A 16,881-nucleotide genomic window follows, 5' to 3' on the forward strand; every position below is an offset into this window, starting at 1 on the left:
TGGGGCTGCGGCGCGGACCCGACCTGGAGGCCGAGGCTGTGCGGGAGGTGGGGGTGGGGAGGCTGCAGGTGCCCGGCGCCCAGGTGCGAGGTGCAGGGGGCGGCGGGGCAGGCGGCTGCGGGCGGCAGGCCACTCACCTGTCTCCTCCGGCCGGGGCCGCGGGGGCGGCGGGGCGGCCGGGCCGGGCCGGGCAGGGGCTACGGGGGCGCGGAGCCCCGGGCGCACCGGGGTCGGGAGGCGGCTGCGGGTCCGGGCGGGGGCTGCTCCCTCGGCCGGCCGGCCGGGCGGTCAGTCAGCGACGCGGGCGCGGAGAGAGCGCTGCGAGGCTGCGGCCGGCGCGCGGAGACAACGCCGCTTTATCGGGTCGGAAACAGCCGCTCCGCGCCGCTTCCGCTGACGCAGCGCCGGCCCCTGCGCCTCATGACTATGCAGCACCCGCCGCCGCGGGACGGGGATTCGGGGGGCGGGGTCTGCGCCGCGCGCGCTCATTGGCCTCCGCTGCCGCCCACCCCGCCCCCGAACGGCCGCCCCGCCCCCGCCGCGCCCCTGCCCCGCCCCCGCGCGCACCGTGGCTCCCGCCCCCGTCTCGCCATGGCCCCGCCCCCAGCCATAATCCAGCCCCGCCCCCGCCCTCCTCCCGCTACGCCCCCGGCCCCGGCCCCGGCCCCGGCCCCTCCGCACCGAGCGTCCGCCCTCTCTCCCCTAAAGCGCTGGCCCGCAATCCACCCCATCCCTCTCTGCAGCCGCAGGAGGTGGCCCCCGCCTGTCCCCACCTTCTCTCCCCGCTCCTCTCGCCACTCTGTCGCAGAGGGGTCCGGCTAGCCACGAGGCCCCGGCCCCCGGCAGCCCAGCCCCTTGGCAAGCACCCTCCCGCCCCCTCCGCCCCTGCCCGTGGCGCGGCGACATGGGCCCCATCCAGGTGCTGCAGCCCCTCCTCCGCTGCAGGAGAAAACTCTCCTGTTTTCCCCTCCCTGCCACCCTCCGAAGACCTCCTACCTGGTCCCGGACCACGCCCCCGTCCCCAACTCCCCCAACGCCCCGCGCTCTGCGGGTCCCCTCTCCAACCTGGAGAGCGGGGCAGGACGAAGACCCGACCCGGAGCTTCCTGGAGGCTGGGCCTCCCTCTCAGGCTTGGCCCTGGCCAGGGACACTGATCCGTCTCTCCCCACGTGTAGAAGGGCCACAATCCCTAGGGCAGGACTGCTGGGAAACCCCATCAAGACAAGGTCTGGGGAGGCGGCTTTAACAGACAGATGTGATGGGCTGAGGCCAACCCTGTTAACGTCGCAGCCCTGCACCCTTGCCAGGGTTTAAGTTGCTTTGGAGGAATTACTTCATTTCTCAGAACCTTGGCGTCCTCATCTGTAAAATAGAAATCGTAAGATCCATCTCACCTGTTGCTAAAGGAATTTAGAAGTGAAGTGCAGAGCAGAGCCTCCAAGAGCATCGGAAATGGGAAAATCTGACCATATCAAGTGTTGACAAGGAAATGGAGCAACTGGAACTGCCAGACACTGTTGGTGGACATGCAAAGTGGTACAACTTTCAAAATCTTTTTGAAAGGCCTTGATTACCCAGCAATTCTGCTCCTAGATACACACCTAACATTGTGTTTCTGTTGATAGCAGCAGTGTTTATAATTGCCCCAAACTGGAAACTACTGAAATGCTCATCAGCCGTTAAATGGATACATAAATTGTGATATATTCACACAGTGGAATGACAGCAATGACAGTGAATAATCAACTACACACAACAACATGGATGACTCTCACAAATGATGTTGAGGAAAAGAAGCCAGAGGATAAAAAGCCATATTTGTTTCCATGTGGATAAAGTGGTAGAAGGTGTATATGGGGGTAGCAGTCAGGATAGTGGTTACCCTTGGAGGGAGGGGTGCCAGAGCCAGGAAGCAGGGCACAGAGGACGTGTCTGGGGGCTGGCTGTGTTCTGTGTCTTGGTCTGAGTGCTGGTTACAGTGTGCTCAGTTTATGATGACTTTTCCAGCTGTGCAGTCAAGATGCATGTGCCTGTGGGGCACGGTGATTCACGCCTGTAATTCTAACACTTTGGAAGGCCAAAGCGGGTGGATTGCTTGAGCCCAGGAGTTTGAGACCAGCCTGAGCAACATGGTAAGACCCTATCTCTATTAAAAAAAAAAAAAGACGTGTGTGTTTTTCCATGTGTATGCAGTATCTCAACAGAGGGTTAGTAAGTACATCAATGGTCTGTAGACAGTCCAAAGCAGCATCAGACACATCATGAGTGCTCAAACTGTACATCTGCTTCCCTGGTGATTTTTCTTTCAATGGCCAAAGGATAGAGGCAGCGGCAATTCCAGGTGTGCTGTGAGCCAACTGTGTGAGCCTGGGCGCCTACTTAACCTCCCTGAGTCCTCTTCTATAAGTGAGCATTCTAATAGTACCTAGTTCACAAGTTGTCCTGAAGCTTAAACAAAATAGCAAAATGATGCTTTTTAAAATGACAATACAATCAAGAGGACAGAACAGGTAAAGACTTTGTTTATTCACAAATTGCTGGTATTGATTGAATTGTCTTCATTGTCATTCATGCAGTAACCAACTACTGAGTGTGTGCCTACTATGTGCCACACGCTTTGCTGGGTCCTAGTACTGGAGCTGGGAACATGATCCCATCTCTCTTCTTAAGGAGTGCATTGTGGGGTATGTACCAGCCATGGTAGCCATGGAGCCCAGTCTAGGATCAGCCTTGTAGTAGGTGCTCCATAAGTATTTCTTGGGGCTGGGCATGGTGGTGGCTCATGCCTGTAATCCCAGCACCTTGGGAGGCCGAGGTGGGTGGATTGCTTGAGCTCAAGAGTTCTAGACCAGCCTGGGTAACATGGCGAAACCCCATCTCTATTAAAAATACAAAAATTAGCTGATTGGGGCAGTGTGCATCTGTGGGCCCAGCTACTTGGGAGGCTGAGGCGGGAGAATCACTTGAACCTGGCAGGCAGAGGTTGCAGTAAGCTGAGATCGCACCACTGCGCTCCAGCCTGGGCAATAGAATGAGACCCCATCTCAAAAAAAAAAAAAAAAAAGCCTCTAAAAGAGTAACTGAATGCAAGTATAGAAGTATAGGCACCAGCCTAGCAACATAGCTAGGCCCCATCTCTACAAAGAATTCAAAAATTAGCTGGGTGTGGTGGCACATGCCTGTAATCTCAGCCCTCAGAAGGCTGAGGCAGGAGGATCACTTGAGCCTGGGAGTTCAAAGCTACAGTGAGCTATGATTGCACCACTGTGCTCCAGCCTGGATGACAGAGCAAGACCCTGTCTCAAAAAAAAAAAAAAAGAATGTAAGTGTAGGCATGAAGTTTCTTGTGAATGAAACTTAGAAGGCAGTTTCTAAGCCTGAGATGTGGAAACCCAACTAATTTACTTCTATAACCTGGAGTTAAACACAGAGACCAGAGTAAAGTTAAGAAAAAATATATCCCCATTGTGCAAGCACCTCAACAAGTGTGTGTGCATGCGTGTGTGCATATGTGTGTGTGCATACGTGTGTGCATGTGTGTGCATGTTTGCATGTGCGTGTGTGCATGTGTGTGTGTGTGCGTGTGCATGTGTGCGTGTGCATGCCTATGCAAGAGGGCAGTGGCAGGGCCACCCTGCAGCACTCCTTCCCAGCCTACCCGGCCAGGGCCTTATATTACCTGCCACCACCAAGAAGGGTGATATGTGTCAGTGGCCTGTGGCCCCATTGTCCAGCTGCCCATGGAAGCCGGGGAATGGAATCCTCAGGGCCCCCACACATCTTTGCCCCACTCCACCCCCTCCTTAAATGGCTGGCTCCCCAGTCCTGTGAGGAGAGAGCTTGATACGGGGAAGCCCTCTTGCCCAGGGGTCAGAAAGACACGGACTCTGGCCTGGCTCTGAAGCAGGCGTGCCTGGGCCCTTAGCTGTCATGGGTGTGTGACCTGTGTAGTCACACATACCCAGTGCTCAGAATAGCTCCACGCTTGGCTTAGCGCTCTGCTGTTGCCATCTTTAAATGCTTCACAGCTTTTAAGAAGGGCCCCACAAATGCTGTGGCAAATCCTGCATCTTTGTGAGCATGACAACCTCCCCGATGCTGGGACGAGTCCAGGGCGTGGTGCCTCCATCACTGCTTAGGTTCCAACCTTGTCTTCTCCGTGCCTCACCTGGGGATGCCTTGGAGCAGGGCCAGGCCCCTCTCATCCCCAGCGCTCATGTGTGCACACCTTCCTGTGAGATGGGTGTCATCCTGCAGAGGAGGAAGCTGCGACACAGGTTGTTGGTACCTGTAGCCGCACAGCTGGTAGGCGATAGAGCCGGGATTTATACCTGGGTCATATCTGGTTAGGTGTTAGGTGAACAGGCTGACTGATTGAATGAATGAATGAATGAATGACGTCCGTGAACACACCCATCTTACTATTGCTGGGCATCATTCCCTTCCTCTCCTCTGTGCCTCGTAAATGAAGAGGAAAGAGCCTGTTTGGTGCAAAACGTCCACATCCCACAAACAGGCTGTGACCTGCTCTGAGCCAGAGGCCAGCTGGTGACCTGGTATGGACAGCTCCTACCTTGGTTGAAAAGACAAGACTGCCCTCTTTGGACCTTGTGGAGAACACACTGGGCCATGGGAGAGAGGTAGAAGGTGCTCCGCACAACAGGTAAATCAGGAGAGAAGGAGAAGGAATGAAGGCCACTCAGACTTCTCCAGCCCCTGCCCTCAGCTTCCCTGGCCCTCTGTCAGCCTTTCCATTGCACAGACGAACAAACCAAGGCTCAGAGGTAGCGTGACTTGCCTGAGCAGCCTCTCTTCCTAGGAAAAGCAGGAGGGCTTCCGGGCAGGAAGCCCCCACGGAGGTGGAGGCTAGAGGGCTGGTGAGGCATGCGGGTGCCAGTAGAGCCCGCGGGTGCCAGTAGAGCCCGCGGGCGCCAGGAGCTCCACATTCCTGGCAGGCCTGGCAGGTCCCCCCTCCCCTGGCTCTCTCCTCTGTCACACCAGGTGACTGTCCGTGCCACCCTTTTGAGCCCATCCCCAGACCTTTGCATCTGCCATTTTCTCTTCTGGGAGTGTCCCTGGTGCTCTCCTGCCATGAGGAAGTGTCCGAGAGCAACAACCATTGATCCCAGTTTGAAAGGAAAGGGAGGGAGGTGGTACATATGGAAGCCCTCCCTGAACTGGCTCCAATTTTACTATGATTCAAACAACAACCCGCCTTTAACCAAGGGCCTGCTGTGCTCCAGCTGCCCTCAACCCCTGCCCAGCTTCCTTAGAGAATGGAGGCACAGGATTCTCTCCAGAGACCACAGCCTACACAGCGGTGGGGTGGGGGCGGCAAGTAGGTGGGCCCTGAAGAGGGAGGAAAGAGAGGGGATGAGCTGAAGCAGTGTCCCAGCCAGACAGTCCCTTAGTGACACCTCCTGTGCTCCTTCACAAATCTTTTATCTTTTCAAAGCAACAAACACGTTTTTAAACAAACTCGTTCACAAAACCCCAATATGTCAATTAGCACGCTCATGTATCACCAGGTGTTCCTAAGACACTGCCCCGCTTGGCTCTCGTGCTTAGGGCGCTGATGTTCAGGCTGTGTCTACTCACCCTGCCAGCGTCCTTCCGCCTGCTCCGCCCCTTCCCCAGGAGCAGCCTCTGCTTAGGTGAGGCTAAGAGCGCAGGAGCAGAGTTCTAGCTTACTGTGTGACCTTGGAGAAAATACCTAATCTCTGTGAGCCCCAAGGCAAAATGAAGAGGGTGTGAGCTCCACAGAGGGTAGGGGCCAAAGCCCTGGGATGCAGGTGAGTAGGTCCACAACCCGCAGGTCTTGGATCTCAATTGCCCAGGAGGGGACCCGAGACCCTAAAGACCATGTGCCTGCCCAGTGTCCTGGGCAGCCAAGGGCTTTCAGAGCAGCCCCAGGGCCGGGACACGAATCCAGGTCGGAACCTCCAGGTACCTGAATTGGCTCCAGAGCAATGGGCTTCTGGGGTCCCACGGCTTCTCTTCCTGGGGTCATATGGCTGCCCGGTGTCATATGGCCACCAAGGGGCCATGTGGCATCCTATGATCGTGAGCTTCTTGGGGTCTCATGGCTACCTGAACCATGCGATTGCCCACGGTCACAATCGCTAGGAGTCACACAGCTACCTGACGATGGAGTGATTTAGCCACTCGGGGTCATACCCCAGGTCACATGGACACCTGGGGCCACACGGCTCCCCATACTGGTGTGTCTCATTGGAAGTTCAATGCAATCCAGGCCATTCCACTGCTTCTGTGTCCTGGGTGAGCCCCATCCCCTCCCTGAGCCTCAGTTTCCTCATCAGTGAGGTGGACAGAATCTTTGTTTCTCTAGCACAAAGGACTGTATGAGAGGATTATGTGAGGAAATGACAGTGCAGGGCCCAGCGGAGGTCATTGACTAGGAAGAGCTCATCAGTGACCACAGTGCCAGGAAAGGGCAGCTGCCCAGGACTGGCTGTGGCCGTCAGCACGACGCTGGCCCTCCAGGCCTGGGCAGAACCTGAAGATTCCCCAGAAGAGACTGAGGCAGGTTTTCACTGAAGGGCCTTCCCCACATGGGCCCGCCCTGGGCAAAGGCCGGGTTTCAGAAGCACGAGAGGGGTGAGGGGCTGGGACAGGCTCCACGCCCGCCCGGCAGCAGGATGTGCACGCTTGCAGCTCTGCGATGCCTTTCTCTGTAGCTGTCTTATATCCCACAATGAAACCTGTAAAATAAGTCAACACGATCAGACACCGACTTTGTCCAGGTTTGAGGGCCTCAGCACTTGACCTCTTTCCTGGGGACGTCTTCGAGCGGCCAGATGGGGGTCTTAAAGAGCTCCTTGAGGCCCGTGTGTGGGGCATATGGGGTGGGGCTGAGAAATTGGATCTAGAGCCTAGTGGGGCAGTGGCTGGCTAGTGCTTGTTCAGCTGGGCTGGTCAGGGCCCAGATAATGATGCGGATCAGTTACCACAGGGCTCCAAAGCCAGCTGGGCCCCCGCCTGATCAAAGTAATCTCGTGTTGACAGCAGCCCTGCGCTGGGTGCCATTAGATTCCCCATCTGCTAGAAGAGGAAACTGAGGCACAGAGAGGGGAGGTAGCTGGCCTAGGGTCACGTATCGAGTCAGTGACTGTGCCAGGGTTTGAACCCAGGCCATCTGGCTCTGAGTCCTCGTGCCCCCTTCCACAAGGTCACAGGGCCTGCCAGGGGCTCCTAGACTGTCAGAGTGTGGAGTGGTTGCTGCATCTGCTGGCATCTCTAGCCCACCTGTCAGGATGGGGAGGAGGGGCAGGGCCCAGTACAGGGGCTGGCACTGGAGCCATAGCCATGAACCAAATGACCAGGGTGACCTGGAAAGGAAGCAGGGAGGCAGCCACCCAGGGCGGCCAGCAGGGTGGAGCATCTGGCACGGCTTCTCACAGTGAAGGGTAAAGGCAGGTGATGTCTGGGGTCACCCCACCCAGGACCCCTGCGGCAGGCCCCACCTGCTGATGGCACCAGGGCAGGGCGGAACCCAGGGTAAGCCTCCCTCCCAGACATCCCCTCCAGGCCGTGGTCCTCAGCCCAGCTTCGTCTCTGGACTCCCACCCCTGCCCCTGCTTAGTCAGCAGCCTCCTAAGCCCTCTGGGTTGGCTCTCCCTTTTCCTGCGTTTGCTTACACTGCTCATCCTGCCGGTAGTGCCCACCATTTCCCTTGGGTCTGCCTGTCCCATGTGTCCTCCTCCAGGAAACCCTCCCAGACCACCCCAGCTCTCAATAATTCCTGCCTCCCCCAGCACATAGCAAAAATAAGGCCCACCTAGGCTTTAAGTCCTGAATCATCATTTAAAGAACCGCCTATACTTTACAACGTGCTTGTCCTGTCCACAGTCTCATTGGAGCCTCTGAGCAGCCCTGTGGAGTCAGTTCTGGTCTCCCCTTACAGATGGGGGCCTAAAAGGTGAGGGCAGGACCAGAGCTCACCTGGGGTGTCACTGCACCAGTAGTTAATACTCACTGAGACCTACCTGGGTGCCAAAGCCTGGCCTATGTGATTTCTAATCATTCATTCGTTCATTCACTCATTCACTAAACATTGACTGAGCACCTGCTCTGCTCCAGGCACTCTGACATAGATGCTAGGGAGGCCACACCTCCTGGAATCTGCATCCCAGCTGAGAGACAGCCAAGGAGCAAGGAAGCAAGTGACATGCAGTAAGCCGGCCAGCGATAGCTGCTGTGGAAATGCGGGGAAGGGGGCAGGCAGAGTCCCCCTTGAAGGGGACTTTGAGGAAGGGCCTGAAGGAAGAGAGGGAACGGGCAGAGGAGTTAGCTTCATCTCTCAGTGGGAGTTAGACACCCCCTACCCCACGATCAGGCACAGTAGGGCTGCCCTCAGCCACCTTGCTGCAGTTCTCCTGGCCCTGCCAGCCAGCCCCCTTCCAGCACCAGCTGCCTTCGACCCTCTGCCCTCAACTGTGAGCACTATGTGGGTGGGCTCTAGCCCACCCTGTCCGTCCCTGGGTCCCTGGTACACAGTTCACAACTTGCAAAGGAACGGACGAGAAAGGAGTGAATGAGAGAGCGTGACTGGCCTGGCTCCCAGCTGCATCTTGTCTAGGGTACAGGTGGGTGCAGGAATGTGCCCTCCCCTAGGAGGAGGCCCTGTAGGAAACGGCACACCCTGGAGAAACTAGTGGAAATGAGGCGCATCCTGGTTCTGATGCTTTCCTGTTCACCCACGGGCTCACACACTCCTGCGTTCATGCACGCATGCATTCATTCATGCATCCTCCCGTTCTGGAAGAAGCACAGGTGGTCAGGGTCCCGTGGAGTGTGAAGCAGAACGGATAAAGTCCCTGCTCTCAAGGGCGTTACATCCAAGGACATAGCAATAAATACATAGTGGAAGACCAGGTGGTACTAAATACACAAAGAGGGCAGAGCAAGGAGGGTGTTGCTATGGATAGCAGGTGGCCAGCAAAGCCCCCCCGAGTGGGGTACGGGAACCCCAGGAGGGTCTGAGCAGAGGAGGGACTCAGGGATCTCGATGTTTTAAAAAGGCTCAGGCTGCTGCTGAGGGTGGCTGGAGGGCACAGGACGTGGGAAGCTTCTTGACAATTCAGGGAGCTGATGGCTGCAGGCAGGGTGTTGGCAGTGGAGGAGCCGTGGCCGGATTCTTGGTAAACACTGAAGCTGCAGGGCGGAATCACTGGAGGGCTGGGAGTAGGATGCGGCTGTAAAAGCTTGCATAAGCCTCCTGAAGCCTCAGTTTTCTCGCCTGTGAAGTGGGGTGCTAGTACCTCACTGCCAAGGCTCTAGTGAGAAGAAGCCAGGGAAAATGTGGGAGTGAAGCCAGCCCTCGTTGGCTCAGCAAAGCCTCAATGGGGCCCCATTCATGCTGGGCACTGGTCTAGGCGTGGGTACACAATACCCCACAGGCGCTTAACAAATAGTGGTTTTGGCTGGGCATGGTGGCTCATGCCTGTAATCTCAACACTTGGGAGGGCAAGGTGGGAAGATCAACTGAAGCCTGGGCAACATAGTGAGACCCTGTCTCTACAGAAAATTTTTAAAATTTGCCAGGCATGGTGGCACCCACCTATAGTCCCAGCTACTCCAGAAAGTGAGGAGGGAAGATCACTTGAGCTCGAGAGTTTGAGGCTGCAGTGAGCCAGTGGTAATCCCACCACTTTGGCAAGCCGAGGTGGGCAAATCACTTGAGCCTGAAAGTTCAAGACAAGCCAACATGGTGAAACCCTGTCCCTACTAAAAATACAAAAAATTAGCTGGGCATAGTGGTGCGCTTGTAGTCCCAGCTACTAGGGAGGCTGAGGTGGGAGAATCACCTGAGCCTGGGAAGTTGAGGCTGCAGTGAGATGAGACTGCACCACTACACTCCAGCCTGAGCCATGGGAGTGAAACCCTGACTCAAAAGAAAATAGAAAGAAAAAGGGAGGTGGGAGAGAGCAATGCTAAAGCCAGAGGCAACTGGGGCCACAGTGACTGGGTGCGGCAGGGCATCCTGGGTCAAGGGTGGCAGCCTGTTAGACAGCTGCCCATGGCAGGGTTGCTACTGTCTGGCCCTGTGGTGGGAGAGCCCAATAGAAGTTGCCCGGGGTGCCTGAGGTCCGGAGCCAGGAACGCAGGCTGCAGAGAGGGCTGACCCCATTTCCCGAGGCAGTGGTGCCAGGAGGCCTGTTTTCCAGGGTGTTTACTGGGCTCTCCGGCTCCAAGGAGCTCTGAGTATTTGGGCTGAGTGCCCGGGGTCAGCCCCTCGACAGCACGCTGGGAGGTGGGGGTGGCTGTGCTGATGCCACCCTGGGCCAGTGGAGAAGGGTGGAGGCAGCAGACTGCCCGGCAACCCATGAGTGGGAGGGGAGGCTCCACCCTCCTTAACCACAGCCTGAGCAGCCACTTCCCAGGCCCACCTCTGATTTGGGTGGAGCTGAGCTGGGAGCACTTTTCCAGGCTACCTAGTGAGGGAGGGGCACAGCAGATAGCAAAGGGGTCACGATTCAGTCAACAGGGTCAGGCTCAGCCGGGAAGCGAATAGGATCAGGGCTTAGTGGGTAAAATGAGAGCCAGTGCTAAGTCGAGGGAAGGATCATGGTTTAACATATAACCAGGGTCAGGGATTAATGTCCAAGCAAGGTCAGGGCTCAGTCTGTGACCAGGATCAGGGCTCTGTGTGTGACTAGGATCAGGGCTCAAAATGTGACCAGGGTCGGAACTCAGTGTGTGACCACGATCAGGACTCAAAGTATGACCAGGATCAGGGTTCAGTGTGTGACCAGGGCTAGGGCTCAGTGTGTGACCAGGATCAGGGCTCAGAGTGTGACTAGAATCAGGGCTCAGAATGTGACCAGGATCAGGGCTCAGAGTGTGACCAGAATCAGGGCTCAGAATGTGACCAGGGTCAGAACTCAGCATGTGACCAGGATCAGGACTCAATGTATGACCAGGATCAGGGTTCAGTGTGTGACCAGGGCCAGGGCTCAGAATGTGACCAGGGTCAGGGTTCAGTGTGTGACCAGGATCAGGGCTCAGAATGTGACCAGGGTCAGGGCTCAGAGTATGACCAGGATCAGGGCTCTGTGTGTGACCAGGATCAGGGATTAGAGTGTGACCAGGGTCAGGGCTCAGCATGTGACCAGGGTCAGAGCTCAGCGTGTGACCAGGGTCAGGGCTCAGAGTATGACCAGGATCAGGACTCAGTGTGCTACGAGGATCAGGGCTCAGAGTGTGACCAGGGTCAGGGGTCAGAGTGTGACCAGGGTCAGGGGTCAGAGTGTGACCAGGGTCAGGGCTCAGAGTTTGACCAGGATCAGGGCTCAGTGTGTGACCAGGGTCAGGGCTCAATGTGAACCACAGGATCAGCGCTCTGTGTGTGACCAGGATCAGGGATTAGAGTGTGACCAGGTCACATGCTGTGACCAGGGTCAGGACTCAGCATGTGACCAGGGTCAGAGCTCAGCATGTGACCAGGGTCAGGGCTCCATCTGTGACCAGGATCAGGGCTCAGAGTGTGACCATGGTCAGGGCTCAGTGTGTGATCAGGATCAGGGTTCAGTGTGTGACCAGGGTCAGGGCTCAGTGTGTGACCAGGATCAGGGTTCAGTGTGTGACCAGGATCAGGGCTCAGTGTGTGACCAGGGTTAAAGTGCAGCCTGTGACTAGGATCAGGTTTCAGAATGTGACTAGAGAGTTCAGTGTGGATCAGGACAGTCAGTTATGAGGATTAGTAACGAGTGGGATCAGGACTCAGTCTTTGACTGAGGCCAGGACTCAACATGAGGGCCATGTGACAGTCACAGCCCTAAAGTGGACTCAGGGTGTCCTGGTCTCTTCTCACTGAACCAGTAGCCCCATTCATCATTCTTTCTCTTTCATTTGAGAACCATCTTCTCTGTGCCAGGACCTGTCCTAGGTGCTACAGACTCAAGGGCCACTTAGCCACAGTCCCAGCCCTGAATGACCTCCCATCTCCCAGGCAGCCCAGTTGGGTCTCAATTGTACAACACACCAAGATAACTTAGAGGCTCAGGAAGGGCCAGGGAGGCATTCTTCCCCAGGTACTCAGTAAGGCTCTCTGGAGGAGGTTTTGCAGGCTGGGTCACTTGAAGAAGGGGGCAGGAGGGCATTCCAGGCAGCAGGTACCACCTGAGCAAAGGCACAAAGGCTGGTTGCCAAGATGAGTGCTTGGCAAGTGTTGGGAGCTGGAGTCACCTGTGCGCGAAGAGGGCTCAGTTATCGGACAGTGGGTCTTCATGGGCTCTGAGGGGGCCCCAGGTGACAGTTCCTGCCAGGTGACAGTAGTTGCTCTAGCAGCCGGTGGGCACTCCCTGCTCTGGAGGCCACCCACCTTGGGTGGACCAGAGTCTGGAAGACAATGGAAAGGAATGAACCTGCGTGAGGCAGACAAGGATGGCGGGTGGAAGGGTGGGGACGGGTGCGGAAGGGTGGGTGGAGGCCAGGGCAGCAGAGCAGGTGAGGGTGGGTAGTGCCCTGGAAAGACAAAAGCCAACACGGGGCACGTTGGGGTGTGTGGGGACCTTGGTGGCTGAGTCCCCAGGTGGGTGCCATCCTCTGGGAGCTTGATGGAATGGCCAAACCCCTGCAGCCTCGAGGCCCCATCTGCCCACATCTCGCTTGAAGGCTTTGCCTGGGGGACCTCGAGGCCCTGTGCTCTGCCATCTGTGCAGGGGTGTGCAGGTGCAGGGACTGGGTGGGTGGGCGCCTGGAAGGACAGAGCTGCATGGCCTTGGCTCCCACCTCCCCGAGACCTTGGCTTTGGTGTCCAGCCTGGCCCTCTCTCCATGTACCTCTTCACAGAGCTTCCAGAATCATCTTTTCCTTCTTGACACTCCTGCACCCCGAGGCCTGGACCAGGCGACCAGCTCCTTTGAGGCCTCTCCATCTGAGAATTCTTCCAAAACTGACTCCTCTTCTCACTCCTTCCCACCCCTTCCCTCTGCAACTCATCCCCAGAGACAGGGCTGGGGAGAGAGCGGGCTGTTGGAGGGGCAGGGGGCTGCCTCCCCGGGAGAACTCTGAGGCCCCAAAGCAGGAAGGGCTGGGGTGCAGGGGCTGGCTGGGAGGAGGAGGAGACCTGAGCCTGCTGACAGGGCAGGAGCGGCCAGGGCGCAGGTGGGGTTGAAGGGCCTGCACCTCTCACGGCAACTCATCCAACCCTCTAAGAGCCTGCTTCATTGGACCAGGTGCTATCATTATTCCCTCTGCTCAGATGAGGAAACTGAGGCCTGGAGCAGTTAAGTGACACATCAAAGTCATCCAGCCATAGAGTCCAGACTGCTGATCCCAAGAGCGGTCAGGGTCATTAATAGTGGAGCCTCTTCCCCAGCAAGAGGACTCGAATTAGAAGTAAAGTAAGGCCGGGCGCGGTGGCTTATGCCTGTAATCCCAGCACACTGGGAGGCTGAGGTGAGAGGATCGCTTGAGTCCTGGCATTCAAGACCAACCTGGGCAACAAAGTGAGACCCCTGTCTGTACTAAAAATTTAAAAATATACCTAAGGGCTGGGTGCTGTGGCTCACGCCTGTAATCCCAGCACTTTGGGAGGCCGAGGCAGGTGGATCACGAGGTCAGGAGTTCGAGACCATCCTGTCTAACATGGTGAAACCCCATCTTTACTAAAAATACAAAAAATTAGCCAGGCATGGTGGTGGGTGCCTGTAGTCCCAGCTACTCGGGAGGCTGAGGCAGGAGAATGGCGTGAACCTGGGAGGCAGAGCGTGCAGTGAGTCAAGATCGCACCACTGCACTCCAGCCTGGGCAACATGGCAACACTCGACCTCAAAAATAAGTAAATAAATAACTAAAATTAAAAATAAAATAAAAATATACAAAAAATGCCTGGGCGCAGTGGCTCACACCTGTAATCCCAGCACTTTGGGAGGCCAAGGCAGGTGGATCACCTGAGGTCAGGAGTTCGAAACCAGCCTGGCCAACATGGTGAAACCCCATCTCTATTAAAAGTACAACAATTAGCCAGGCATGGAGGTGGGTGCCTGTAATTCCAGCTACTTGGGAGGCTGAGGCAGGAGAGTCACTTGAACTCGGGAGGCAGAGGTTGCAGTGAGCAGAGATCGTGCCATTATACTCTATCCTAGGCAACAGAGTGAGACTCTGTCTCAAAATATAATAATAATAGATAAATAAAAATATAAATATACATAAAATAAAATACAAAATAAAAAGACTGGAGCCTTGTGTTGGTCAAAGGGCTGGATGTGGGAGTATACCATCTCTGAGTTCAGAGGTGACCAGGCATTTGTGGGGCCCCTCACCCCCTGCTCCCCACTCAACTCCTGTTCAGGTTCCTGACACAGGTATGACCCCATTGCTCTCACAACCATGATGCCATTTGAGCCTCGATGACCAATGACAGCTGACATCTATGGAGCATTCTCCATGCTAAACACTTTTCATCCCTTGCTCATTTGAGGCCACCTGCAATTTTAGGGCCATATTCTGATCACCCTTTACCGATGCATAAATGGGCCTGGGCGTGGCCCAGTGGCCTGGACACTCGTTAGGGGAAGGCAGAGCCCTGGCCCCTCTGTCCATTGCCCCAGGCTGTCCTCAAGGCCGGTAATAAGGTCACTCTCATCCTGCAGGGGTGGGGTACAGAAATGAACGAGACTAACCCAGTTCTTGCTCAACCTGCCAGGTTGGTTTGACCCTGTTGGCACCCCACACCTGGAGCACCCTCAGGCTACGCCCTCCCCACCTGCTCTTTCCCAGAGCAGGGACTTCTGCGGTCGCAGCTGGGCTGGGGGCCCCTAGCCGTGGGGGGTCTGGGCCTTTGGGATACCCTCCTTAGTCTCCAGAGAACATGGGTTTGAGGACCTGGGCTTGACCCTCCTGGGTCTCCAGGCAAAGCCTCAGCCCCACCAGCTTCGAGGGTGAGGGCAGGTGCACAGCCACCGTGGGAGGCAGGCATGTCCAGGGAGCCCGGTCTGTGACTGGGGGAGATCACATGGAGGGTTGAGGCCAACTTCCCACATCTACAACATTCGGCCGTGACCTCCCCTCACAGAGGCCCGGGAGGGTCATGGATTCTGCTCTGAATGCTGGCCCAGCAGGTGACACACACCACAGCTCAGCCCCCTTGTTCCAGGGCCATGAGGGGCTGGCTTCATGGATGAATGAACCCCAGGCCCACCTGGAGGCTGCATCCTGGCTACCCTGGCCCCAAGTTGGGGTGGGGTCAAAGGGCACAGGCACAATTGGATCCAGGTGTTGGAGTCCCCTCCACTCTCTGCAAGCTATGACATCAGACAACCTGCTTCCCTGCTCTGTGTCTCAGTTTCCCCATGTGTATAGCACATGGCACTGGTATAGGTTGTTGTGAGCATTCGCTTCTCTGAGGCCAATGAGACAGATTTGTAGCCCATTGAGTGGGGGCCACCGGGGCACCAGATGGGGATTTGAGAGTGCACAGGCATGCCCACATTCTGCCTCAGACTGCAGGTGAACAGGCTCACACACGTGTGCATGCACATACATGTACACATCCACATGCACATGCCGGCGGCTGTCCCATACTCCCCTTTTGCCACTGTCCCGCTGGTCTATGTGTGCCCACGGATCCTGCCCCGCTGGGTGTGCCCCACTGCACAGGCACACACACACCCCTCCTGTCCTTTGCTCACACACACAGTCCCTCAGTGTCCCATGCCCCAGCCCCAGGGTGTCTTGCTTTTCATTTTGTCCCCTGCCCCTTTTGTCTGACACATGTTTCTGTCTGTCACTCACGTCTTCCTGAGGGAGTCTGCCCTGGGCCTAAGGGTTTGAACAGCTTCAGAGAAAGAGGAACTGGCCAGGCGCTGGACCAAAGCCCCTTCTTCCTGCTGCCCTGGCCTGGGCCCCAGTGGGGGTCCTTGAGAGCCAAGGCCACCCCGCCTGTCCTCCTGTTAGTGGCTGATGCTCCATCTGCCTGTGCCAGACGCCCTGTTGGCTCTCGGTCCAGCGGCTGTTCTGGGATGTGTCTCCAGGTGCCCCTCGAGGAGTCCCCTCCTTTCTGCAAGGAATGCCAGCCACACCCTCTTTGCCACTGTCCTGTGGGCCCATTGGGTTTGGAAATGTGGGCCTCGCTGACCAGGCGAGTCCTGTGTGCAGGCTCCTGAGTGTCCGCCTGCACGCACAGCACCGATCAGGTGGACAGACGCCTCTCAGGGGAGGACCCTGATGCGCAGCTCCCACCTCCCAGTGGCCTCCGTGATGACGCCATGGTGACTTCTGCAGGGACTAAGGCTGTCCATCCCGTCCTGGTGCCCAGCCCAGAGCCTGGTCTGTGGCAGGCCAGCGAGGAACAAAACCCACCCACCTTAAACATGGCTGCTCCGCCCACCCAGGGCCTTCCAAGGCACAGAGTCTTTCTGACCGGCCTGCAGCAGACATAAGACCAGAAGTCTCGTGCCTGGGCTGTGGGCTCCCCAGGGTAAAGCCACCAGAAGCTGTGCAGGTCCAGGGTGTAGTCTGTCCTCGCCATGCTTGGAGCCCTCTGGAAGGCCTTGCGCTCCTCTGGGCCTCACGTATCTCTCCTGTCGAGGAGTCTGGGGACCCTCCCTCCCCTCGCTGCCATGAGTGGGGTGTGGTGGAGGGGCCTGGGCCTCAGCTCAGAAGCCCCAGGGCTGGGCTGGAATCCTGGCTCCAATCTTGGCCACTGGGAAGCACTGGGCTCTACTTCAGTCTCCTCACCTGTATAGTGGGAACACCAGCAGTACCCACCTCATGGGCCCTTGGAACAGGGGACTAATGGGTGGCCCTGGGTGAAGTGGTGCCACATGGAGGCTCCAGGAAGGCCAGCCTGCTATAGGAGGTGCTGACTTGGTGGGGCTGGGGGGTCTTGATCCCCCATTCAGGTGGCTCCAGGAC

General features: G+C 56.9%; 1 protein-coding gene across 5 annotated transcripts in view, besides 3 other annotated features; it reads right to left on the minus strand.

Moving 5' to 3' along the window:
- The window catches only part of SLC45A4 (solute carrier family 45 member 4), a 101,115-nt gene extending 100,785 nt beyond the window's left edge, over positions 1-330 (minus strand). For all 5 annotated transcript variants that reach the window (XM_011517179.3, NM_001286646.2, XM_047422015.1 and 2 more), the window contains exon 1: positions 138-330. The gene's annotated coding sequence lies outside the window, so the exon portion shown is untranslated. The remainder of the gene's footprint in view (positions 1-137) is intronic.
- Positions 206-305: a silencer, noted in NCBI's record as "silent region_19591". NCBI's record gives its function as "represses an Ori minimal core promoter by ATAC-STARR-seq in GM12878 lymphoblastoid cells {active_cell/tissue: GM12878}" and the evidence as "EXISTENCE:reporter gene assay evidence [ECO:0000049][PMID:35858748]".
- Positions 326-565: a silencer, noted in NCBI's record as "silent region_19592". NCBI's record gives its function as "represses an Ori minimal core promoter by ATAC-STARR-seq in GM12878 lymphoblastoid cells {active_cell/tissue: GM12878}" and the evidence as "EXISTENCE:reporter gene assay evidence [ECO:0000049][PMID:35858748]".
- Positions 16,068-16,568: an enhancer, noted in NCBI's record as "H3K4me1 hESC enhancer chr8:142334125-142334625 (GRCh37/hg19 assembly coordinates)". NCBI's record gives its function as "activates a minimal SCP1, AML or CMV promoter by ChIP-STARR-seq in naive and primed H9 embryonic stem cells {active_cell/tissue: H9 hESC(naive and primed)}" and the evidence as "EXISTENCE:reporter gene assay evidence [ECO:0000049][PMID:30033119]".

The sequence above is a fragment of the Homo sapiens genome, chromosome 8, assembly GCF_000001405.40.
Source record: "Homo sapiens chromosome 8, GRCh38.p14 Primary Assembly".
NCBI lineage: Eukaryota > Metazoa > Chordata > Mammalia > Primates > Hominidae > Homo > Homo sapiens.